Here is a 26,215-nt window from a genome sequence, read left to right on the forward strand (position 1 = left end):
TTTCCCAATCAGAGAGGAAAGTATTTAGTCATTCACAGTTAAGTATAATATTAAGTATAGATTTTTTGCACATTATCAATTGATGTAATTTCCTCTATTTCTAATTTTATAAAAGTGATTTTTAAAATCAGAAATGAGTGTTGAATTTAGTCAAATACTTTTTACACATTGACTGATATAATCATATAAATTTACTTCTTTCACTTCTTAATGTGATGGATTACACTGATTGATTTTTAAAAATTGAGCTAGCCAGCCTTTCTTCCTTGGAATAATCCCCAATGACCATGGGGTATAATTCTTTTATATATTGCTAAATTCTAATTGCTAATATTCTCTTAAGGATTTTTGCATCTACATTTATGAGAGATATTGCTGTGTAGTTTTTGGTTTTGTACTGTCTTGGTCTAATTTGGATATCAGGGTAATACTAGCTTCATAAAATGGATACAGCAGTGTTTACTCCTTTTCTATTTTTATTTTTATTTTTGGCAGTGATTGGGTAGAAATAGTGTTAGTTCTCCTTTAAATATTTCCTAGAATTTTCCAATGTAACCATCTGGAACAAGGTACTTCGATTGGGGGGTGGGTTTTGGGGGAGAAGAGTTGGGGGAGGGGCAGCTTTAAAATGATCAACTCAATTTCCTAATAGTTATAGTTTTATTCAAATTTCTATTTCATATTAGATGATACAATACTTTGTACTTTTGTGGAATTGCTCCATTTTTATCTAAGTTGTCAAATTTATGTGGCTAGAGATGTTTCTAGTATTACCTTACTATTCTCTTGAAGTCTACAGAGTCTATATGATATTCCTTATTTAATTTCGGATATTGGTAATTTGTGTTGGTCTTGTTGGAGGATTGTCAATTTTACTGATCTTTTCCAAGAACCATCTGTAAGTTGTAAGGATTTCCAATGTTGTTTTTCTGTTTCTAATCTCATTGATTTCTGCTATTATTTTTATTATTTCTTTCATTATCATACTTTGGATATACTTTGCAGTTCTTTTTCTAGGTTATTAAAGTGGGAACTTAGGTTATTTGAGAATTTCACTCTTTTCTAATATAGATAATTCATGCTGTAAACTTTTCTCTCACCACTGCTTTAACTGTTTTCTACAAATTATGATGTCATATTTTCATCCTTACTCAGTTTGACAATTTTTTTTATTTCCCATGAGAATTCCTATTTGATTCGTGGATTATTTAAAAGAGAAGTGTGTCTTTTAGTCTTCAAGTGTTTGAAGATTTTAACTTCATCTTCCTGTGATTGATTTCCGGTTTGATTCCACTGTGGTTGGAAAACATGGTCTCTATATAATTTCTATTTTTAAAAAGTGTTTTGGGTTTTTTTTATAGTCTAGAATATTATCCACCTTAGTATACATTATTTATTTATTTATTTTGAAATGAAATCTTGATCTGTCTCTCAGGCAGGAGTGCAGTGGCATGATCTCAGCTCACTGCAACCTCAGCCTCCTGGGTCCAAGCAATTCTCCTGCCTTGGCCTGCCGAGTAGCTGAGATTACGGGCATGTGTCACCACATCTGGCTAATTTTTATATTTTTAGTAGAGATGAGGTTTTACCGTGTTGGCCAGGCTGGTCTCAAACTCCTGACCTCAAATGATCCACCTGCCTTGGCCTCCCAAAGTGCTGGGATTACAAGTGAGAGCCACCACACCCAGCCCACATTTTAGTATATATTTCATAAACATTTGAAAAGAATGTGTAATGTATATTCTGCTATTGCTGAGTAGAGTATTCTATAAATGCATATTGATTGTGCTATTGAGTTCTTTCTTTGCTGACATTCTACATAGTTATCTATTAATTTTTGATAGAGTGATGATGAAGCTTTACACCATTTCTATTTCTATGGCTATTTCTCCTTTTAGTTCTATTAAATATGTTTCACGTATTTTGTAACTCTGTTATTTTGTAACTCATTTAGGATTGCTACATCTTCTTGGTGAATTGACCCTTTTATCATTATATGGTGTAATTCTCCGCCTCTGATAATCTTAATCTTTTTTGCTCTGAAGTCTAATTTATATGACATTAGTATAGCTACTTCTGCTCTATTTTGTTTTAATATTTACATGATGTATTTTCCCACTATTTTGTTTTTAATATACTTATAGCATTATCAAGGAAGTGAGTTTTTGTAGACAAGATAGAGTTTCTGGCATCCAGGAAGAATGAGGTACATAGACAAGTGAAGGGTGAAGAAGATGAAGAGGAGCTTTATTTAGTGTTAGAACAGCTCAGAGGAGACCTGCAGTGGGTAGCTCCTCTCTGTAGGCAGGTCGTCCTGTCAAGTGTTCAGCTCTCAGCAGAGAGGAGGCCCTGGAGAGGGTAGCTCCTCTCTGCAGGCTGGTCATCCTGTCATCTCTCTGTCCTCTGTCCTCTGCCCTGCTCTGGCTGAACCTGGGGCTTTTATGGACCTCAGAGGGGAGGAAGTGCATACAGATTGATCCACAGGTGACAACGGGCAGGCAGCAGGAGGCACTACAACTCCCTATTCTGGTCTGTGGACTGGCAGTCAAGCCCCCAGCCTTCAGCCTCTCCCTGGCCTGAAGGTGAGGCCTTACCCTGGACTATTGTTTTCCACCCAGGGATCTAGCTGACTCCTGCTGCCATTCATGGCCCCTGGCGCACATTGCCAACCCTGCTCCAAGACTGGAGCTGGCACAGGGAAAGGAGAGAGGCCAGACAACAGGAGCAGACACCTCTGAGCCTACAGGGATTGGGAAACCCTTCCTGGGCCCTGAGGACACAGGCTGCAGAGATGCCCAGGCCTTGCTCCTGGGAGGGCTGCTGCAGCAGCACTCGGGGAGCTTCTGCTCTGCAAACTCGGAAGGGGCAGGGCTTCCACTTGTCCCCAGCTCCTGTATACTCTGTGGAATGGGAGGCCCAGGTCTGCAGCCGTGGGTTGGGCACCCAGGAGGGCAGATCCCGCCCACTACCGGTTCCCCCCAAGAGCACAGAGAAGCTCGGATTCACAGCCACAGTTTGGGTGGCTACAGCTGCAGTTTGGGTCTGCAGCCTGTGGTTTGGGCAGCTGCAGCAGTACCCTAGGAGCTCCTGCCCCAACTCAGAAGGGATGGGGCTTCTACTGGCTCCATGGAGTGTGCAGCCCCAGCCGAGCCTCCCTGCTGCATCCATCATGTGCTGCCATCACTTTGGCTAGAAACAGCAACTTGTTATTATTGTCGTTTTCATCTATATCCAGTGACCATTCCAGGGTGCTGTCTTCTTCAGCTTCAGGTCTGGGGTATATGAGGCAAAAAGAAAGCCCAGGGAACTTGCCACCACGTTGTTCTGTGGGTCCTAAAGTCTCTAGCTTATCTGCCTTCTTCTCTTCAACTTTTACAGTCTTTGTATGTTGGTTTCATATGTAATGCCCAAGGATGTTTTAGCTGTAATTAGCAAAGAATAGTGAAATATTCATCTGCTCCATCTTCTCTACAGGAGAAACTTTCCAAACTTACAAACATATATTTCAAATATTTCATAATTAAAATAAGTACTAAAAAGTGAACAAGAACTTTGGGGAATTGGGGGTTAATACTAGGTGGAGGGGGGAAGCAGTGAGTTTGATGGAGACAGGGAGGAACGCCCAGCAACAGTGACAGGAAGGCACATGGAAGAGAGAACTGGTGAAACATTTTCCAGTAATGGAAACTGACAAGGTGAGAACTGCTTACAAGCAGAGCCAGGTTTTGAAGACTTTGGGGATACATGAAGAATGTTCTTGAACTGATCACTTCTATAGCAGAAACATGGGCGTCGCTTTGACCCTCAGGGCCTACTTTAACCTCTGTTCTCACCCTTTTGGAGTAACATAAAATGACAGTAATAGTTGAATCCATCGTATTATTTGAGAGTGACCCTCTGACCTAGAGGTCAAGCTTTTTGCTTACCCGTCTGATTAGAACATTCCATAATTTTTGAAGGAACTCATCTCCGGGCCCTTTCCATTAATTAGTCCAGCACTAGCAGATCCTTGAAGAGGAAAAACCAGTGTCGAAGGCTCTCAAATCCCTCTTTGGCGATTAGGAAGTGAGATAAGGAAGGGAAGCTTTTAACAACATGAGAGTCGTCCTGCAAGCTCCAGAGAAGCGGTTCTTTGCAATCTGAGAGGAGCCCAGCCACATGAGAAAAGCAAACAAACAAAAATACCTCTGTGATGCTTGGATTTTATAAAGTGCTGATATCTGATGGTTAATCTGCCTGGCCCTGCCAGAGAGGACAGTGTTAAATTGCCTTCTATTCTTGGGAAACTTAACTTGTCATTGTTAAGCCTGCCTGCATGAGAGCCTTTGAAACAAAATCTGGATGTATAGAAAAGTTGTCTAGGTTCAGGTTAGGTGAACTCTGCAGCAGTGGAAGTGGCCTGAGGTTAAGTGAAGCGTCCCCAAGCCAAGTGAGCTCTAGAGAAATCTGCTAGCTGGAAGGCACAGTCAGAAGACCCTTCAAAGTCTACAGAGGGAAACTAGGGGCATCTTTCGGACCTAAGGCCCTTCTACCTTCCATAGACTCCGGGGAGGTGGTGTGAGACAATGGTGATGCGCATAGCCTTTGAATACATTCACACTTCAGCCAGCTGGTGGTACATGAGAGAATGGCTCCATCTCTTCAGCTTCAGTTTCCACATCCATAAAATGGAAACAATTATGGGACCTGCTATCTCATTGACTGAGAGAATTCTTGCATTATACATGGGGAGTGTTCAATGAACAATAGTTGCTATTATTTTAAAAATCACTGGTCTAATAGAATGTTTACAGGGAGCCAAAAGAAACTCATAGAATTGAGACTAACCATTTCATTTTAGAGAAGGGGCAGCTGAGACTCAAAGATGTTGCCTATGATGCCCCCACACACCCCTCAAGGTCATATGGCTAGTTGGAGGCAGAGCTACCAAAAGAACACCATTCTCCTAAACTCTGTGGTCTCCTTCCCTGTTTTTTTCAATTGCCACATCAAATCGAGGTTATAGTTTGAACCTGATAAACATATTATCTGACTTTACAAGAAGTTTCTACTTTAATTTTTTTTTTTGAGACAGGGTCTTGCCCTGTCACCCAAACTGGCACAATCATAGCTCCCTGCAGCCTCAACATGCTCAGGTGATCCTACCTCAGCCTACCAAGTAGCTGGGACTACAGGCATGTGCCATCACACCCAGGAAATTTTTAAAATCTCTTTCTTTTTTCTTTTCTTTTTTTGAGACAGAGTCTTGCTCTATCACCCAGGCTGGAGTGCAGTGGCATGATCTCAGCTCACTGCAACCTCTGCTTCCCGGGTTCAAGCAATTCTCCTGCCTCAGCCTCCTGAGTAGCCAGGATTACAGGTGCCCACCATCACACCCGCCTAATTTTTGCATTTTTAGTAGAGGTTTCGCCATGTGGGCCAGGCTGGTCTCGAACTCCTGGGCTCAAGAAACCTTCCCTCCTTGGCCTTCCAAAGTCCTGGGATTGCAGGAGTGAGCCACCACACCCAGCTAAGATTGTTCTGTGTATGTTTTTTAACATGTGTCTCAAGAAAGTTGCACCAAATGAGAAACCAACAAAAAACTGAAAACGAAAATAATAACACTAAATGAAAACAACCGTCAAAAGAAGAGATCTAATTGCAAATACCAGAACCCATGTCTCATACAGAAGATCCAGCGTCTTGTCATAATCACATCGTGCATAATATCAGAGTCTTCCTTCTCTGTCTCGTGAGGTGAGTGATCCCACGTGCATTCTAATGCATGTTTTATTTCTCCATTGATTTTAATTAAAAGGATATTGTCAAGGTTGCTAGGCATAAATATTGACTGCTTTTGACACTACAGTTGTCCCAGAGGGTCAGGCTTGCTTTTTCAAGCTTCTTGAATCTCTTTCAGTTCCTTGGAGTCTCTTTTTGGTATGTTGGAAATTTCAAAAAAAATGGAACTATTAGGGCATGCCTGATAGTTTTTTTTTTTTTTTTTTTTTTTTTTTAATGCAGGTTGAAAAAGAAAAGAAAGGCCTGGTAATTTGGAATAATCATACACAAGTTAAATCTTGGGTCTTGAGTTAGCAAGAATGGTTGCATGAGTGGTAAAAATTACTGAAAATTACTTCCTATTCAATCAGTTTGGTCAGTGTATATGCTGATATATCTCCAAAATATCATATAGACATCATTAGTGCTTTTAACAAACCAAAGAGATATGTTCTTTTAAAAGAGAATTTTACTAAAAGAGATTCCTAGTGTCCCAACCCCAAACCCTTCACCCAGGCCTGAGTTCCTTTGTAATTTCTAAATGATCACAGCTCCCTTGCCTAAGTAGGCTGTCAATTCAGCACTGATGAACATTTCTATCCGGGAACTGGAAGGGCTTGAGATGGTGCTGGCATTTCAGGGTTAATTCTAGCAGAGTCTAAAGCAGCAGGGGTTTAAAGAGGCCCAACAATATATCAGGAAGAGGTGGACTGCCGAGAATAAGTGGTGTAAAATGCATTATGAACATTCTCAGCAAAGAGAAATTGTCTTTTTCTTGTTGATAGTAGAAAATCAATACAGTTGTTTTCTGTTCAGTTTTCAAGGGCACAAGTTGCTGCTACTTCAGGCTTGAGAAGTTCATAGGGTGGTTAACGAAATGTCAGCAGTGATTGAGCAGTTCAAGCAAAATTGACATCCCTCTGCCATAAGTCTACCCTAAGTGAACTGGCAGCCACGGGGGATGGCAGAGCATCCCAGGGCCACAGGGAGCAGGTGGGTTAACGCGTCAAGCTAAAAGAATAATTGCTGGCCCCACACAACAGGTGGAAAGACAATTCACGTTGGTATTCTCCTTGGTTTGGGTAGCTGGCGTGAGGAAAGAAGAAAGACTCTGATCAGTAGAAGGGCTGCCCAGAAGCCGATAGAACTCCAGTTACCCTAGGACTGTGTGCAATCTCTTTTCCTCATCCCATCTGGCAGCATGGGGATTCTTTTCTTTCTTGGCACTGTCTGGCTTGTCATATATATTATTTTCCCTTCTCTCCAGATGCCCTTCCTTCCCTACTTTTTCTACTTTCCATCTCTAAGCCACCTTTTCTAAGTAGCTGAAGGTCATTACTCAGCATCCACGGTGGTTAAGAGGCAATCTCTGGAGATCCAAAGCCCTTTAAATGGTTTGGGTCTGTGTTCCCATCCAATTCTCATCCCAAATAATAATCCCCATGTGTCAGAGGAGAGGCCGGATGGGAGACCATTGGATCACTGGGGCTAATTTCCCTTTTGCTGTTCTCATGATAGTGAGTTCTCATGATATCTGATGGGTTTAAATTGTGGCCCTCCCCTCCTTGCTCTCTCTCTCTCCTACTGGCTGCCTTGTGAGAAGGTGCTTACTTCACCTTCACCTTCTGCCATGACTGTAAGTTTCCTGAGGCCTCCCAAGCCATGTGGAACTGTGAGTCAATTAAACCTGTTTTCTTTATAAATTACCCAGTCTCAGGTAGTTATTTATAGCAATGTGAAAATAGGACAGTACAATCCTGAATTGATCATTTAGTAAAAATGTTTCTTGAGCCACTCCCCCAGCCCCAAGCCTCAGTTTCTTCAACTGTAAAATGGGTGATAATTTTCCTCACTTTATGAGAATAAGGTGCTCACTCAGTCCTGCAAGTACAGGGTTGATGGCTGAGAGTGAGCACTTCCTTAAATTTTGTGCCCAAGACACCTCACTCATCTCACTTTCATAGTAACCTTGTTGCAATAACATTGTAAGTTAACCTGTTGATCTCCTTAAAATGTTTTGCACATTGAGTGATTATGACCTTTCATTTGTATAAATGTTCACAATTTTGCCAAAACACATTCCCAGACAATCTTCTGACTGTTTTGGGCTTTATCACTTGCTTCCTTTTCCCCTCCACTCTGACTACTGGCAGATAAAACAGTCTTTCTTCTACACCATGCACTTTAGCAGTTAGCGCAGAAACAGTCACACAGGAGGCACTCACAGAATAGACTTGGGCTAAAAGAAAAAGGTAATGAATAGTCTTTGTTTCACCAGATTACCAAAGGACTATGTAAATATTTCAATCTCTTACTCCTACCCAGTTCTATAGACAATGGGTCAACAGAACTTTTATGAACAGATGAAGAAACTATGTCTACAGTACCTCTGTGAAGCAGTGTTAAGTCCCAACATGGTCAGGGATATTTCCTTTTTCTTCGAATACGATGACTGGGTCTTGATTCAAAGGCACTGTTTGGGAGCAGCATGTCTGCATGGGAACAAGCACATATACATACTCACATGTATGTTTGTACACAGAAGCACGCATCGGTTTCTACGCATGTGATATAGTTAAATGATGGTCAAGACAGTGATTTAAATTTGCCTGAGCTCCAGGGTCTCTGCATGACACACAATCCAGGATGGAAGGCTTAGTCTCATGAAAGACCAATAGAAATAAAATACAATGAGATACAGAAATGCAAAATCATCCAAATACGGCTGCTTCCTCCTTCCTTAAATGTTTTCCTATGCATGTGAATCTCTCTCCTACCGGGTACCAGCCACCCCCTCACCATGGCATTTTAGAAAGGCGAAATAGATAAAAAAGGCTAGTCTCAAAAGAAAATGAGGACATCCTCTTAAAAAATGACCTAAAGCAGAATCCTTATTGCTAAAGCTCTTCTGATGTTTCATTTTTTTTTTTTAAAGCCAAGGCATTGTAATTTAGTCAGTTAGGAAAATCCCTGAGCAGTTTCCTTAACTTTTCTGTGGCTAAGAAGCATTTCCTTTTTTTTTTTTTTCTTGTTGGGTGTGGAAAGTTAGAGGGTATATCTTTGTCTTTTCTCCATACCCAATTTTCCAAGACTAAGAAATGGGACATCAAAGGGCTCATTGAAATAGATAAAATGCTCCGTCAAATAGCTCTAATAAAACAACATCTTGATGATTCTTGAGAAAATGGATCAGAGCATATGGACTCAATTTCCCTTGGAAAAATCTATTGGGAAAAAGAAAACCAAGTGGCGTGGGTGAAGTGTTTTCAGTATTTTATTCTTTCCAATTCTGAAATGTAGCTCTAATTCTCTGTCAATTAAGGAAGCCCATTGGGATTTGATACCCACTCTGGATCTACGTTATATTTTGACTTCCAATGAGTCTAGAAAAATAAATTGAGGAAGTACAAAAGGATGACAGCTTAGCAATAATATATCTTTAAAACCCTCACTGCATTTTTATCTAAACACAAAAATTTGGTGTGGGGAGGGAGGACGGGGAGAGGGGAGAAGGATTGCAGAAAGAACTTGGAGTTTGCAGTTTGTAACCTTTTGTTCTAGGCCTTCCATCTTCAAATGTCATCAGCTCTGAAATGATCACTAATCTTCACTATATCTCTTGCAATTGTTGACCATTCTTTTGTTTGGTGTCAATTAGATAGGAAAGAATTTTCAATAATTCAATAGTTCTGTATTAAAGGGCAGCTCAACTGCACATAACTTATCTCCTTGGTTATCAATTGTTTTTATGGAACAGCCCAGGGAAGATCACTTGGCTAACTCACCATCCATCCATCAGGGCTCAGATTCATCTGAGTAAATGTAGAGTTATGATTTAATTTCCAAAAGGTTGGGTTCAAATACAACAGAATGAGACTTGTTTATAGAATGATGGCTTGTTTTTCTCAGTTACTAATTGTGAGCTTAATTTTTAATGGAAGAGCATTGCTAGCATAATTAACACCCAATTTACATGTGCATCCATAGAACCAATTAATTAAATTTTATTGATGCCTAGTTGCTCTTTAAAATGCTTTCCAAATGCCTCCAAATTGATTTTAAACTGTTGATAGTGGAAGTCAGTTTACACTTTTCTTGGGTTTATGAAATACTAACCTCTTCATTCATTAAAATATGTTTTATCTACTAGACACATTCCATAATTTGCTAAGGATATTTTGCATGGAGTGCATAGTGTGGGCTGATGGCACTGCCAGTTTGAACAGTGTTTAAAACAAATGCTATAGTACTTGGGGACTACAGTTAGATGGCCCCAAGGATCTGAAAATGAAGAAAGAGTACCCTCTGAAAACAGAGCAGAGATAGGCAAAGTCAACTGAAAAAGACAAGAAAATCTCCCAGAACATCCAGGGGAGACTTAACGTGGAGATTTTCGTGCATCTAAAGAAAAAGTGTTTTACCCCTAAAAGGCTGATCAGCAATGAAAGCTTTGAAGAGGAGGGCTCTAGAATGTAATTCAATGTTGCAGAGACATACACACACTTTGGGAGATAAACTTGACTTTATCTTTTTGACTTTTTGATTCCTGGGATGACAATCATTACTGCAAATTAAAATCTCTGGCAGTCTCAATCCAATGCCAATAGATATTAACTTCACAGAAGTCCTGTTCTTCTTTGTCAAAAAACATGTGTATAAATTTTTGGGGTACAAGGGCAACTTTGTTGCATGGATAAATTGCATAGTGGCGAAGTCAGGGCTTTTAGGGTATGCATCACCCAAATAACATACATTGTACCCATTAAGTATTTCTCATCATCCACTGCCTCCCACCCTCTCATCCTTCCAAGTCTCCACTGTCTATCATAAGTCCTCCTCTTCTTTTCACCAAGAAGTCCTCTGAATATAATATGGCTTCCATGTGGAGACATAAATATGTTAACAAAGAAGAAATGAGCTGCCCCTAAAGAGGACTTCAAGTGTTTTGAATCCCTGTGATGGTGACTTTGTATGGTCAATGAATCAAAACACATTTGGATCACATTAAGCTCCACTAGATGGAAAGAATGACCAAGCATCTTTGGCAGCTCTTCCTTTTTATGAACTCTCCAAAAACAAAGCTCCAAATATTGCTCAGATATGATTGTTGTCCTCGTGTCTATTACCTTTATCAAGGGAGCTTACTGTCTTGCCTGGGCTATTTCAGTAACCTCTTAATGGTTGGACTCACCTCCAGCCTGGATGCCTTCAGTCTGCTCTCTGTACTGTGGGTGGCATGATTATGTGAATGGCCACCCCTGCCCCCTCAACATGCACACACACACACACACACACACACAGCTCCCACACCACTATACATGATTAATCCTTCAATGTCTTCTAATGCTCTCAAGCTCAAGGCAAACTTGCTTAACATGTCAACACTGCCCTATATGGGCAGGCCACTACCTATCCACCTATTCCTAGCATGTCACATGTACACTCCTGTCTCTGCTCCAGCCACTCCGGTCTTCAATTCCTTGTGCAAACAATCCCCTCTATTGCTATAGGGCCTGTCAAAGTATCATTTTATAAAGGTGATGAACAAGGCTTTTATGCAAATACAAAGTAAACAGGTACAAAGATTTATTTAACTCATTAAAGAGGAAACCAGGAGTGTTTGAGAACTGTGTGTTTATCAGCACAGGAAAAAAAGTTAGAATAAGATTGCTAGTTTAGGTAAGAAAGTGGTTAATGGATTAGGACTACAGCACTATGAAATCATAACCTTTATTTTCTTTTTTTTTACCAGCAAAAATCATTTGCATCTCTTGCAGACAAAAATAACTTTAAATTAATCATGACTTCCCAGGGTCTGGGCCTTAGTCAATAGTAAAGAAAATGGCAAAGGTGGGTTCTCCTAGAACAGGGATTGGTGAACTATGGCCCACAGGCCAAATGAAGCTTGTGGACCACTTTTGTACAACTTGAGAGCAAAGGATGTTTTTTTTTTTTTCTTTTTTACATTTTTAAAGGATTGTGAAGACAATCCTGCCAAACAGGCCATAGCTTACTCCTGTTAACCCAGCACTTTGGGAAGCCTCAGTAGAAGGATCACTTGAACCTGGGAGTTCCAGACCAGCTTGGGAAACATAGTGAGACCTTGTCTCTAAAAAAAATAAAAATAAATTAGCCGGGCATGGTGGTGCGCGCCTTGTAGTCCCAGCTACTTGGGAAGCTGAGGTGGGAGGATGGCTTAGGCTGGGGAGGTCAAGGCTATGGTAAGCCGTGATTGCGCTGCTGGACTCTAGCCTGGGTGATAGTGAGACCTTGTCTCAAAACAAACAAACAATCACCCCAAACAAATAAGAATACTTCACAGAAATACATATGGCTCTGTTTTAAAATAAAGTTTGAAATATTTACTCTCTGGGCCTTTACATAAAAAATTTGCTGGCCCTGAGCTGGAAAATTAAATAATCCTCAGATGAGCCTTTTAACCAGCACTCCATTGTGACTTTGAAAAGACAAGCATCTATCCTTTTGCCTTACTTCCAAGGTTTTGGGCATTTTTTAAAAATAGCCTTTGCAGTTATAACCTTTCTGTGTAGAATGTCTTTCCCTCCCTCTTCCCCAAGTTTACTCCTTTTGCAGATGTCAGCTCCAAGGCCATTTCCTCAAAGTTTTCCCTGACTTCGAGACTGAGCCGTATTGCTCTATCTCTAGGCTCTCTTGGCATCGTGAACCTTCCTGTAGCAGCATGCGTCATTGTTACAGCTCTGTTTGGGGGATTATTTGATTAATATCTGTCCCCCCACTAGTATGCTGTCTCCATGAAGATAATGACAATGTCTGTTTTATTTTCCATTTTCTGCTGTGTCTGTAGTATCAAGATAGTGTCTGGCTGTCAGTAGGCAGATAATAAATATATGTTAAATACATGAACAAATGTATGACATTATTACGGTTCAAATTAGTGTTCTGGTGTGTAACTCAACTGTGTGTGTGTGTGTCAGTGGTCTTGAATCAGTTTCTCACTTTTAGGAACCCTTAGACATTGATACGTATGATTATTTGGGCTTTTTAAATACAAAATTAATGCAAGAGATGTCATAAAATAATCAAAAGGTACCCAGTGAATCCTTCCTCAGTCTCAGCCAACTTTTCTCAGGCTTAGATGATTAGTAGTTTTCTCCTAAAAACTACTGATTGCCATAAATGGGTGAAGACATGGACTGGGATTGTATCAAGGGAGCTTTCATGGTATAATCAATGCTAACACCTTGTAAAAGAGGAGCAACACCCCATATTAAGCTGTGACCATGGAATATTATCCAATACACCAAGGAACACTGGAATTAAAATAAAAATAGCACATGTTAATATGGAGACTTTCATGAGTTTCTCAACAATATGTGTAAGTTTGTATTTGTATGTGTTTTCTGGTCTCCCTGTGAGTAAAGCTGATGATTGTAAAAATGGCATCACTTCACTGTAAGATTATTTAGAATTTAGTGTAAAGCTACTGGAATGTAAATTGCTTTCCTTTGGCTTAGCACTAGGTATAGATCTGAACTTAATAAATATTTGGGAACTCAAGAGTTTCACTTGAATTTATTTTCAAGAGGTCAAAGACCAGTGAAATTTGGTAAGTTCATGGGATTTGGAGGTGAAAGCCTCCTGAGAAATTCTGTGGCTTATATGGTTAGCTCTCTTTGGAAAACAGAGAGAGATGGCATCACCAGAAACTTCTGCTGGAAGTAAAGGAATTGGGATGTTGAATCTAGACCCATAAGCCCCTTGAAAATATCCTTGAGGTATGAGTTTAGTTGCTTTGCTGAGTCACCATCAAAAGGCCCAGTAGTTTGCATGACTCAGAGGCATTAACTCCAAAACGTTAAGACTAAAGTGAAAACCTAATGGAAAATCACACAATTTGTGGCATGATCAATCTGGGTTTTCTTCCTGCTACTTATACTACAATATTGGACAAGATACTTATTCACTAAGCTTTGGTTTTATTATTTGTAAAGTTGATGTGAAAATATCATAATCATGTATCATTGCTAATATTTTTGAGGAAATCATATGTAAGACATCTAGCAAAGTGCCTGGCCCTTAGCGGGTGTTCAATGAGAATAACTACCTTTTGTTTGGCTCTTATTATGTGTTTAACCTTGCACCACTTACTTTACTTAAAATAAAACATAAATTGAAATATCAGGGAGAATAGTTATTTGACAAATAAGAAAATTAAATCAATGGGGTCTGATGGACAGCATAATGGCAGAATTGAAATGTAAACACATGTTTTCAAAGTCATTCCTTTTCTGCTGCATCTTATAGCCCCTTAGAAAATGTCAGTTTTCTTCTTTTCACCCTTCAGCTTAAGGAGAGTGTGTTCTGGGATCTCAGCCCCAGAGCCCACAGACTTACTAGTCAGTTTCTAGCTAATTTCTAACAAGTTCCCGAGGACCACAGTTGAAGAACCTTTGCCCTATGGTATTGTGGAGCAAGAAATGGAAGAAACCTGGGCCCCTGAATGACCACATGGAGCAGAGCTACCCATGATATAGAGATCCATTCTCCTGAGGACTTTTATGCAAGAGCATAATCTTCGGTCTCCTTTAAGCTACTGAATTTGGGGGTCTTTGCTCATGTTTTTTTTTTTCCAGTCTTTCATCCCAATTCTGTCTCAGATTTAAGACCAAGTTAAGTCCCACCTTTCCCTGTTGCTTCACTACACTGGGATTTTCTCTTTGTTGAACTTCTATCATACTTAGAGTCTATCACAAATCATACCAATTTGTTCTCCAATTGTTCCAAAAACGTTAATGCCATCTCTTTCCTTCAATATACTTTTCTATGTCTTTCATTCTGTTCAGCACAATTCTGAACATATGGTAGATGCTCAGTAAATAGCTATCAATTAATATTTTAGTTAACTGAGAATCCACATATACACTATAAACAAATAATCCTCTTTTAATTAAAAAAATGCATGTATTAAAACTGCCTCAAAACACACTCTGCTTCCTTTAGTGACTCAGAGGGCAAGAAATTAAGTAGTATTGTTTTTATTTTATAAGGCATCTCTCATGCATTGCATTTACAATCCACAGACTGGTGACGAGAACTGACCACAGAGTATATACATGCAATGTGCCAATGTGCCTCTTCAGAAGACAAGTAGGTTTGAAGTTAACAAAGAGATACAATCCTTATTAGCATGGGCATATCTCCACTAATATTTATCATGTATGGTTAAATGGTAAAGCCGCTACACATAGATCTTTTGTTTAACTATACTTAACTTCAAAGCCTTAAATTGTTGGAGATGGAAAAAGAAATCTCAACCTCTTATTTGAATTGTCCCTGATTTTAATCACAGAACATCGGCATTAACATAATAGAAGTTCCAGTTACTAAACTATCATCTTCCTCCCACGAGTGAGTTGTCCTTGGACTTAGGCATCATTCCAAATAAAGGCTAGGGCAAATCCCACATTACTTTTTATCTTTTCATGATAAAGGACACAAATTTTATTTTATAATCAAGTAAAAACTTTATAGCTTAGTTTAATTTCTCTTAAGTGTATCACAAATGATGAGTATTGACAATAAAAAGTAGTCCCTATATTATTTTATGCATATGGTAACTGAAAAAGAGTCAGAATTTTATTCAATATGCAGATTGTTTGCGAGATCCTAAATGAAATGAGGCAATATACTTGAATAAGTGCACAATCACACATTTATAAATACATATTAATTTTTGTATACTTTTTGTTCATGTAGTGTACATGGAAGAGAGTAAAGTTACATTCAATAGAGGATTTGTATCCAGAATAAATAAATAATTCCCACATGTGAATAAGCAAAAATATCCAAACAAAACATAAAATGGGCAAAAGACCTGAATTCTCATTTGTGAATGTTTGATGGGACAAGCATTCAGAAAGGAAGATATAAAATAACCAATAATCATATTGGACAACAGATACATTCAAATTAAAACCATGATAAGGGCTGGGCACGGTGGCTCATGCCTGTAATCCCAGCACTTTGGGAGGCTGAGGCAGGTGGATCACGAGGTCAGGAGTTCGAAAGGAGTCTGGCCAACATAGCGAAACCCTGTCTCTACTAACAATACAAAAATTATCCATGTATGGTGGTGGGGGCCTGATATCCCAGCTACTCGGGAGGCTGAGGCATAAGAATCACTTGAACCTGGGAGGCAGAGTTTGCAGTGAGCCAAAATCGCACCACTGCACTCCAGACTGGGCAACAGAGCGAGACTCCATCTCAAAAAAACAAAACAAAACAAAACAAGAATACAAAAACCACAATAAGATATCACCACATGGCCACCAGAATGGCTAAAACTAAAAAATAACCCTGACATACCAAGTGTTGACATTGTTGATGGCATATGATGGGAGCCGACGCAGCCAACCTGTGATGCGTGCAATGACAAAGCATGAGACTAATCCTGATGTGCCCAGGACAGAGCTGCAGACTGATAGGAGCTAGTTCCTCAGAGCAATGTTGGCCGTATTTCTGAGGCTCTGAACCAACACAAGCTCTCACTTCTCCCTGGATCTCTTGGTATGGAAAAACATAAATCAGTGGACAGATAGCTAGATAGACTATCTTCTGTTTAAGCTGCTGTTGGGTCAGGTTTTCTATTATTGGCAGCTGGATCAATTCCTCACCTATTCAGAGATGTTACTAATTGAAAATGGAACTGTGTCCTCTAATTCTTTCTTCATTGGCTTTAGATTTCTTCTAAAGGAAGCACCCTTTCTTTCAGTCCCTTGAACATCCCCTAGCTCATTTCTGACTCTCAAACTTAATCTCTGAATGGCAATTTAAATTGTAATCCATACAGTAGAGTACTACTTGGCAATAGAAAGAAGTAAACTTTGATACACACAGTAACTTCGATGGATCAAAAGTAACATAATGGAGTGAAAGAAGCCAGATTACAAATGCACACTGTATGATCCCATGTATACACAATTCTAAAAAATGCAAACCAACCCTTATAGAGGCAAGAGGGAAGGATTACAACAAGGCACGAGGAAATGTTTGGGGGCAATGGATATGGTCCACATGTGTCACATGTGCAAATATATGTTAAAGTTTATTAAATTATACACTTTAAAAAATTGTAATGCATTATAATGCATTTTCTCTCCTTACTAATTTGTACTTATTTGCAGATTTCTTGGACTATCCATATTACCTTACAAAGAAAACTGAGGGAAGTGTAGGAAACAAGGACAAAGAAAAAGGAACAAAAACCTGAGTTCCTACTGGCTAGATGTAACAGCTGTCAACTTTGAGATATCTATATTCTTCCCATCATTTCTGAATGCATACAAGCACATATATAAGCACACGAATGTCTCCCTCACTGAGGTACTCTCAGTACCAAGCATTGTGAGATGTGCTGTGGGAAGAGGTTCTGACAATTATATACTCACAACCCGACTACCAGAGTTCAGATAGATCTTGGCTGTGTTACCTGGGACAAATTTTCTAACTTCTTTGTGTCTCAGTTTCCTCATCCCATATCGATGGGATGAGGAAGCAAAATAATTGTGCCTAGGGTGGTTGTGAGTAGTGAATGAGTTATATATATAAAAAGGTTTTAAAATGCATGGCCTATATAAGTGTGAGGTAGGAGTAATTACTCGGAAGTCAGTATTTGTCAAATGAATTATCCATCGCCATTCTTTTAATAGTAAATCAAAAATAGGTGGATAGACTAAGGGAGAGAATCTGGTCCTCAGAGTTTTAGTGGATGAGCAAGCAGAAATTCCTTCCTTAAATAAAGTCATACGATGCACTAACCAGGCTCTATACCTTTCTCTTACTGCAATGGGTGGCCTGGAGAGGATGAAATGTATGTGTGTGTGTGAGAGAGAGAGAGAGATTTGTGTGTGTGTTTGTGTTATGTGTGTGGTGTCATTATTTTCTTAGACACATGATTTGACCTGGGCTGTGGTCAAAGCCTGATAAATAACAAGCTAGGATTAAATGTAATTGTGTGTCCTAAGTACCTTAAGAGGCAAAGCGCTGATGAGGGAGATGTCACTCTTCTGGCATCCTCTTGCGAGCCAGCCTTTTTCTCCGGAGAATCTGATGATGGTGAGTTCATGGGCAGCACAGAGAACATATTGACCAACCAACCATGAGAAATATATCAAGATTTATCATCTCTTGGAGTAAAAAATTGACCCCAATTTAACCTCTATTAATATTTATTTCTCAGGTCAATAAATCTAGAATTTGTCTTAGTAAAAGTCAATATCAGTTGAATTCTGCCTACACTTCTTAGGGGGCAAAGAAGAAAGGGGAACTGTAATTTGAACATGTTAACAATAAAATAATAAAGCCACACACAAAATTCCCAGGGTGGGGAGAAACCCACAACACTCCTGCCACTTCTGATTTTAAAACAAATAGACATTCCACCCCAAACATAAATTGCCTCGATTCCACAATTCACATCTCTGGTGGAATAAGAGGCCAACCACAGGGAAGAGGCATGGAGCCTATAATGCTCAGACACCAGAGACTTTTCACCCATCCTCTCACTGCACTCAGTCACTGTTTCCTAATCTTAAAAAGAAAAAAAAAAAAATCCGGCAGGTTTGGTGGCTCAGGCCTGTAATCTCAGCACTTTGGGAGGCCAAGGCGGGCGAATCACGAGGTCAGCAGATCGAGACCATCCTGGCTAACACAGTTACAAAAACAAAATTAACTGGGCGTGGTAGTGGGCGCCTGTAGTCTCAGCTATTTGGGAGCCTGAGGTGGGAGAATGGCGTGAACCCGGGAGGCAGAGCTTGCAGTGGGCCAAGATCAGGCCACTGCACTCCAACCTGGACAACAGAGCGAGACTCCGTCTCAAAAACAAAAAACAAAAAACAAAAACCCCAAACTATATATGCCTATCAATGTTGTTTTGTTCATTGTGCTTTTCACTCAAGAATTTCATCTCTTTTAGACCAGGTAGTCATCTTTCTTTTGTATGCATTTTACTGACTCTTACTGAAAAAAAGGTAAAATGATGTGACTATATTATGTTTTAAGGAAAACATAAATTATTCTTCGTGTTGGACCTCATTTATTTTTATTCATTTATTTATTTTTTCAACGTTTATTTTAGGTTCAAGGGAGTACATTCCTTGTTGCTGAGGTTTGGTACACAATGATCCTGTCACCCAGGTAGTGAGCATAGTACTTGATAGGCCATTTTTCAGCCCTTGCCCTCCTCCCACTCTCCCTCTTCAGTAGCCCCTGGTGTCTATTGTGCTCCTCTTTATGTCCATGTCTACTCAATGTTTAGCTTCCACTTGTAAGTGAGAATATGTGGTATTTGGTTTTCTGCTTCTGCATTAATTTGCTTAGGATAATGGCCTCTAGTTGCATCTGTGATGCTGCAAAAGACATGATTCTATTCCATTTTTATGGCTGTGTAGAATTTCATGGTGTATACGTAACACATTTTCTTTATCCAGTTCACTGTTGATGAGCACCTAGGTTTATTCCATGTGTTTGCTGTTGTGAATAGTGCTGTGGTGAACATACAAGTGCATATGTCTTTTTGGTAGAATGATTTCTTTTCCTTTGGGTGTGTATCTACTAATGGGATTGCTGGATTGAATGGTAATTCTGCGAAAAGATAAAACTTGAAAATAACTAAGGGCTAATATGTGAAGCCAGCAAATCTTCCTTCCATCCTTTCTTCACACTGCCGTGTGCCCCATGATGCTTTGTGTGGGAGGGGTATTTAGATGTCAACAACCACATGTTTGATCATTAGCTTTCATATCTCTTGCCAACCTACAAAATCTTCTCTACCTCTCATCCATTACGTGATTCTCATTATTTTCTTTTTCTCCTGGAGAGTAAACTTTAGCCCTCTTGGGACCGTCCTTCTTCCTATGCCTCACAGCATCCTCTATTACCCATGCTTTGCTATCTAATTCCTACCCAGACTATCGACAAGAAACACCATGAAACTCAAACGATGCAATAGTTGAAAAAACATATTGTAAATGTAAGACATCAGACACCTATGAGGGCTTTTAATATTTTTAATTCTCCTGGGTTAATCAACATATTTCAGGACTGGCGTCAAATAGAGTGGTGTACAGCAGGCACTAAAGGTTGGGTTTTCATGACTTCACTACATACTTGAATCAGGTAGCAGATAAATGGAATAGGGAGTGTGTGCTTCTCTTACCACACTTTCTGAATTAGCCACGTCATCTCTTCCATTATTGCATTTTTTTATCAATGTTCTTTATTTCCTTCAGAGAACTTATGATGGCATTCTATTGTTTTAGTTGTTTGTTTACCTATTTATTATTATATGAAAATGCAAGTTTAGAGGTTTGGTCTTGCTATGTTACCCAGGCTGAACTTGTACTCTTGGGCTCAAGTGATTCTTCTGCCTCAGCCTCCAGAGTAGCTGGGAGTACAGGTGCATGCCACCACACCTGGCTCATGTGTTACATTTTCTGCTCAGTAAATATTTATTGAAAGAATGAATAAAAAAAGAGTGAATAAATGAATATATGAATAAATATTTTAAAAATAAAGTAATAGATTGAATTAATAGCTCCAATTCTTCATTTTATCCTCTCTACATGCCCTTTGCTGTGTGACTTTGAGGTTCCTCCACAAAAGGGGAGAGGTATATTTTGCAACCCTTGGCTCTTGGCTTGGCCACGTGACTTACTTTGATCAGTAGCATGAGACAGAAGTGATGATGTGCCAGGTTGAAGCCCAGACCTCAAGAGGCCCCATTGTTTCTGCTTGATCCCTTTCACTTCTACTAATGCCATGAGAAGGGCATGCCTTTGCTCTCAGGAGAGGATGAGAGACTTGTGGTGCAGAGCCGCCTACAACCCATTAGTCTAGATCAGCTGACTCCCAGGCATTCGTGGCTGTTTTAGGCCACTGCGGCATGGGGTTATTACATAGCAATACTGCTGATATAATAAATAAGACAATTAACAATGGTAATCATGCTTATATTAACTTAAACCACCTGTATCTAGGTAATGAGCTTGGTTCCTGGAATGCAGATCAAACACTTCTAGAATTGTGATTTTTGGATATGGGGCTTTCAAGATCACTTCATGAAGGCACAGAATTAGGAAATTCCAGAGGCAAGCATAGAGTCCTTATCGCAGCTCTTCTCTCTTTCCTCCTCCCACCGCTTCCCTACACACATATAGTTGCCTTAGGAATGAATATTATGCTAGCTGGATCCAGAGCTGAGATTTCTGATGGGACCTTGCATTATATATAGCAGAAACCGGAATCTTTCCAATCACTCGACTGAAGGAAAACAAATTGTGCTTTGTTATTTGCATTTGTTTTTGCATTCCCACCATTTATGAGATTGAGCAAAGCTAATCTGACAAACATTTATTCATCTTCTGTAATGAAATTGTAAAGAATGGTGTGAATTTCTTTCTGCAGGCCTCTCAGAACATCATTTTCTAAATGTGTGTGTGTGTGTGTTTTTTAATCACCTAAAATGTTTATCTGCCCTGAAGTTTTAAGACTGAAAACTTGGCATTCCAAATCATCATGAAGAAAACCATAATAAATTTACTATTAATTGGAGAGTCAGGAAAGTAGATTATAGAAATACCCAATCTTTTTTATCAACCTTTTATATTATAACTACCCATTTTTCTTATTATCTGGCATCCAACATTTGGTTTTTGGGCACAAACAATGTTAGCACTTATGCATTTAATTTACTTTCTGGAATCTCCTTTTTGTTTGGTTCTTAGAGCATTTTTAAGAAATATCTCTGGCTTCCATCTAAACTGATAATGCTTTAAAACTTTATAACATTTTAATTTAACTAATGTTGCTATGACAATAGTGATGTTTCTAAAATGATTTTCTGAGTTCAAGAGGTAAAACAGTAAGCATGAAGTCACTTCATGACTGAGAAGTTAGAGAAAAACCCAGACTGATAGTGCCATATGAAACTTTTCTCAGAAAGTGATGTGCATGTAGGGAAAGAGGTTGGAAGGCTTGAAAAACGGGCCCCGAGGCCCTCACCAGAAGCAGATTCCCAATCTTTAACTTTCTTTTTTGGATCAAAATCATGATCCAAAAATAAACCTTTTTTCTTTATAAATTACTCAGCCTTGGGTATTCTAACAACACAAAATGAACCAAGACAGTTACTAAATTTTATTTTCCAACTTTAACATGCTGTGCATATTCAGAAAGAGCTTTGCAGGCAGCTTTATCCAAAGTCCCAAGCTTGGCTTCTATTGCCTCATCATAAGTCACATGCTCATCCCTGAATGAAACCATATGGCCAAGAGGATGAGTTCCTCTGATTGGCCAGTCTCCCATTTCTTGTTGTTTCCTAGAGGCCGGAGAAGATCAGCCCCAACTGAATTATATATAGAAAGGGGACGGGTAGTTCCCCAAAGAGAGATTGCTATTATTATCAGAATTAAGCAAACAAAAACTCTTGCTAATAATGTTTTTTCTATTATCTGGGTCTAAAGAAAAAAAAAGCACTATAGCACTATTTGGGTAGTATTGGCTCTCACAATAGACTTAGTTATTTCTGTATGTCCTCATTCCTCCATGCTATGATTTTAATGTTTGTGTCCCCCCATTATTAATATGTTAAATCCTTACCCTCAAAGTGATGATATTCAGAGGTGTTGCCTTTGGGAGGTAATTAGGTCATGAAGGTGTCACCTTCATAAATGGAATTTATGCTCTTACAAAAGAGACCTGACAGGGATCTCCTGTTACTTCCACTATGTGAAGATGTCACCAGATGGCACTGTCTTTAAGCCAGAAAGTGGGCCCTTACCTGACACCAAATCTGCTTTGCTCTTGGACTTCCCAGCCTCCACAACTGTGAGAAATAAATTTCTGTAATTTATAAACCATCTAGTTTATGTTATTTTGTTATGGCAACTTAAGGGACTGATACATTCCATAGTAGATTAGTGTAACTACGGCCTTATTTTGTCCTTATAGTGGAAAGAGTACCCTTACCTGCTTCTTACTTTGAGTTTGGCCATGGGATTTACTTTGGCCAATGGAACATTGGTAGATATGACAAGCATAGAAGTTTGACATGTGTCAGTATGTTTGGCTTGTGGTCTTAACTCCTGCCACCACCATGAGAAGAGCGTGTCTCAGGTACCTGCCAACTTCGGGAGAGTAGAGAAATGGAGAACATACCTGAATCTAATTTGCCGCCCCGGACCAGGCCCAGCTAGGTTCAGACAAGATCAGCTCAACTCCAATCAAACTACAGATGGATGAATGAGAAATAAAGCTTATTATTAAGTGCCATTGAGACTTTATGGCTCTTTGTTACATCGTAATAGCCAACAAAGATGCCTTCTCACTCACATCTAGCCATGTAGAGGAATGAGGAATTGGAACATACTAGATTGTTTCTGTCTGCTAGTGGCATTTACTGGAAAACCATCCATCTTCCTTCTCCTTTGTCAGTCTGGACACCATCCACGAAGTGAGTAAAACTGATTTCTAATTTGGTTGAGTAATTTCTCACCATTATTCCCCCAAATTAGATTTTACTTCATTGTCTCCTTTTCTATAAACTTCCCCCAGACTCTAAGAGTTTATAATTTGTGTTCTGAAGTATTTGACGTTGAACACGATGCTATAAATAATCCACCGCTCTGAGCATGTTCAATAAGACTTACAACACTATTATTATGACTACACTTAGGCATTTACAAATTTGCCTTGAAATAGAGATTTATCAGGGGTTTCAGCTGCTCAGTGATGGAACAATATTAATGTCTTCACAAGGACAAATGAGTTAATCCAATCTTTCTATATGCTTGGAGACTGGCGATCTCAGTTTGGACAGCTGGGTTTCTAGATACAGTAACTTCTCTGTTACATGGAAAGGCTGGGGGATGGGCTGTTTTCATTTTGTGTGTGTGTGTGTGTGTGTGTGTGTGTTTGTATGTTATAATTGTTATACAGGGCTTGAGGTTGCAGAGAAAAAAGCCACTGAGATAGGCTTTCCATTTAGTCTGAGGTGCAGATATTCGAAGAATATCTGCAGGAAAAGGGGCAGAAGTGTGGACCCTAAAGGAACATCATCAGCTCCGCAGTCTTGTCCACACAAAGCCGTATTTTCCTCAGTGAACTCGTTAGGGAAGGCACCCTAGTAGTTGGAGAGTGGACTTTGGAGTCAACCTCATCTGGGTTTGAATCCCAGCTCCAAGCTTAGAGGGCTTGAGCATTTACAAAAATTATGTAGGCTGGATGCAGTGGCTGGTGCCTGTAATCCCAGCATTTTGGAAACTGAAGTGGGACGATTGCTTGAGACCAAGAAGTTCAAGATCAGCCTGGGCAACATAGCAAGACCCTATCTCTATAAAACTTAAAAAAAAAATCATCCAGGTGAGTTGGTGCATGCCTGTAGTCCTACCTACTGGGAGGCTGATGCAAGAAGTTTGCTGGAGGTGAGAGGTTGGAAGCTGCAGTGACCTATGATTATGCCAATGCACACCAACCTGGGTGACACAGTGGGACCCCATTTCTAAACTAAATAAAGAAAAATAAAGAAATAAAAAATAAAAAAATTATTTGCACATTTATTTTATCCACTGGTTCACTTACGGTTTTGGGTCACATTCCATAAAAGTGGAGACTGAGAGAAGAATTAAAAAGTCCTTTTTTAATTGAGGGAGGGACTGCTCTTAGGAGAAACCTGAGAGGGAGAGAAGAACACCAGATAGGGGAGAGGCAAGAGCTGAGCAAGGATGTGCCAGGTAAGGTCTAAATTTGGCCTGATCAGTGTGGGATGCTGGAGCATGTGTCCCAACACAGGCATCCTTGCATTGTGGCAGCAAAGTGCCAGCCCTTTCTAAAAGTTGTCACATAATAGCAAACAAATGGAATCAACCTAGGTGCTCATCAATGGTGGATTGGATAAAGAAAATGTGACACATATACACCATGGAATACTATGCAGCCATAAAAAGGAATGAAATAACATCCTTTGCAGCAACATGGATGCAGCTAGAGGCTGTTATCCTAAGCAAATTAATGCAGAAACAGAAAACCAAATACCACATGTTTGCACTTGTAAGTAGGGGCTAAACACTGGGTACAAATGGACACCAAGTTAGGACAACAGATACAAGGGATTCTTTTCTTCTTTCTGTTTTTTTTTTTTTTTTTTTGAGATGGAGTCTGGCTCTGTTGCCCAGGCTGGAGGGCAGTGGCACAATCTCGGCTCACTGCAACCTCCACCTCCTGGGTTCAAGTGATTCTCCTGCCTCAGCCTCCCAAGTAGCTGGGACTACAGGCGTGTGCCACCACACCTGGCTAATTTTTTGTATTTTTAGTAGAGACAGGGTTTCACCATGTTAGCCAGGATGGTCTCGATCTCCTGACCTCGTGATCCACCACCTCAGCCTCCCAAAGGGCTGGGATTACAGGCATGAGCCACTGCGCCCGGCTGATACTAGGGATTCGAAAAGGGGGAAGGGGAGGAGGGGAAAAAGGGTTAAAAACTACACATCTGGAACTAGGTTTGCTGCTTGGGCAACAGGATCATTAGAAACCCAAACTTCAGCGACACACAACATACCCATGTAACAAACTTGCACAGGTGCTCCCTGAATCTAAAACAAAAACTTTTAAAAAAAGCAATACAAATTGTGATAAAATATACATAAGATAAAATACCATTTTAACAATTTTAAAGTGTGCAATTGACTAGTATTAGGTACATTCACAATGTTGTGCAACCAGCACCACTATCTAATTTCGGTACTTTTTCTTCACCCTAAAAGGAAACCCTGTATCCATTAGTTTTCACTCCCATTCTCTCCTCCCCTCAGCCCCTGGCAACCACTCATCTGCTTTCTGTCCCTATGGATTTGCATATGTACTCATTTCTTTTTAAGACTGAATAGTATTTCATTGCATGCATATACCACTTTTTTTTTTTTTTTTTTGAGACAGTCTCACTCTGTCTCCCAGGCTGGAGTGCAGTGGTGCGATCTCAGCTCACTGCAGCTTCCACCTCCTGGGTTCAAGTGATTCTCATGCCTCAGCCTCCTGAGTAGCTGGAATTACAGGTGTGCACCACCACACCCGGCTATTTTTGTATTTTTAGTAGAGATAGGGTTTCACCATGTTGACCAGGCTGATCTTGAACTCCTGACCTCAAGTGATCTGCCTTCCTCAGCCTCCAAAGTGTGAGGATTTTAGGTGCGAGCCACAGTGCCCGGGCACATTTTATTTATCTATTCATTAGTTGATGGACATTTGGGTGGTTTCCACATTTTGGCACTCCTGAATAGTTCTTCTATAAATATTTGTGTACAAGGTTTTTGTTTAAATACTTCTTTCAGTTCCCTTGGGTATGTACATAGGAGTGGAATTGCTGAATGATATGATAATTCTACATCTAACTTTTTGAGAAACTACCAAACTGTTTTCCACA

General features: G+C 39.8%; 1 long non-coding RNA gene across 4 annotated transcripts in view; it reads right to left on the reverse strand.

The window, feature by feature from the left end:
- The window catches only part of LOC102723323 (uncharacterized), a 137,467-nt gene that overhangs the window by 99,288 nt on the left and 11,964 nt on the right, over positions 1-26,215 (reverse strand). For 2 of the 4 annotated variants that reach the window (XR_933558.3, XR_001752179.2), the window contains exon 2: positions 8,148-8,252. This is a non-coding gene — a long non-coding RNA (uncharacterized LOC102723323). Of the gene's footprint in view, positions 1-2,219; positions 3,423-6,211; positions 6,847-8,147; positions 8,253-22,956; positions 23,027-26,215 lie in introns of those variants that run through there. The other 2 variants (XR_002957885.2, XR_001752180.2) reach the window with 2 other exon arrangements.

Source organism: Homo sapiens, chromosome 16 (assembly GCF_000001405.40).
Source record: "Homo sapiens chromosome 16, GRCh38.p14 Primary Assembly".
NCBI classification, from domain to species: Eukaryota; Metazoa; Chordata; class Mammalia; order Primates; family Hominidae; genus Homo; species Homo sapiens.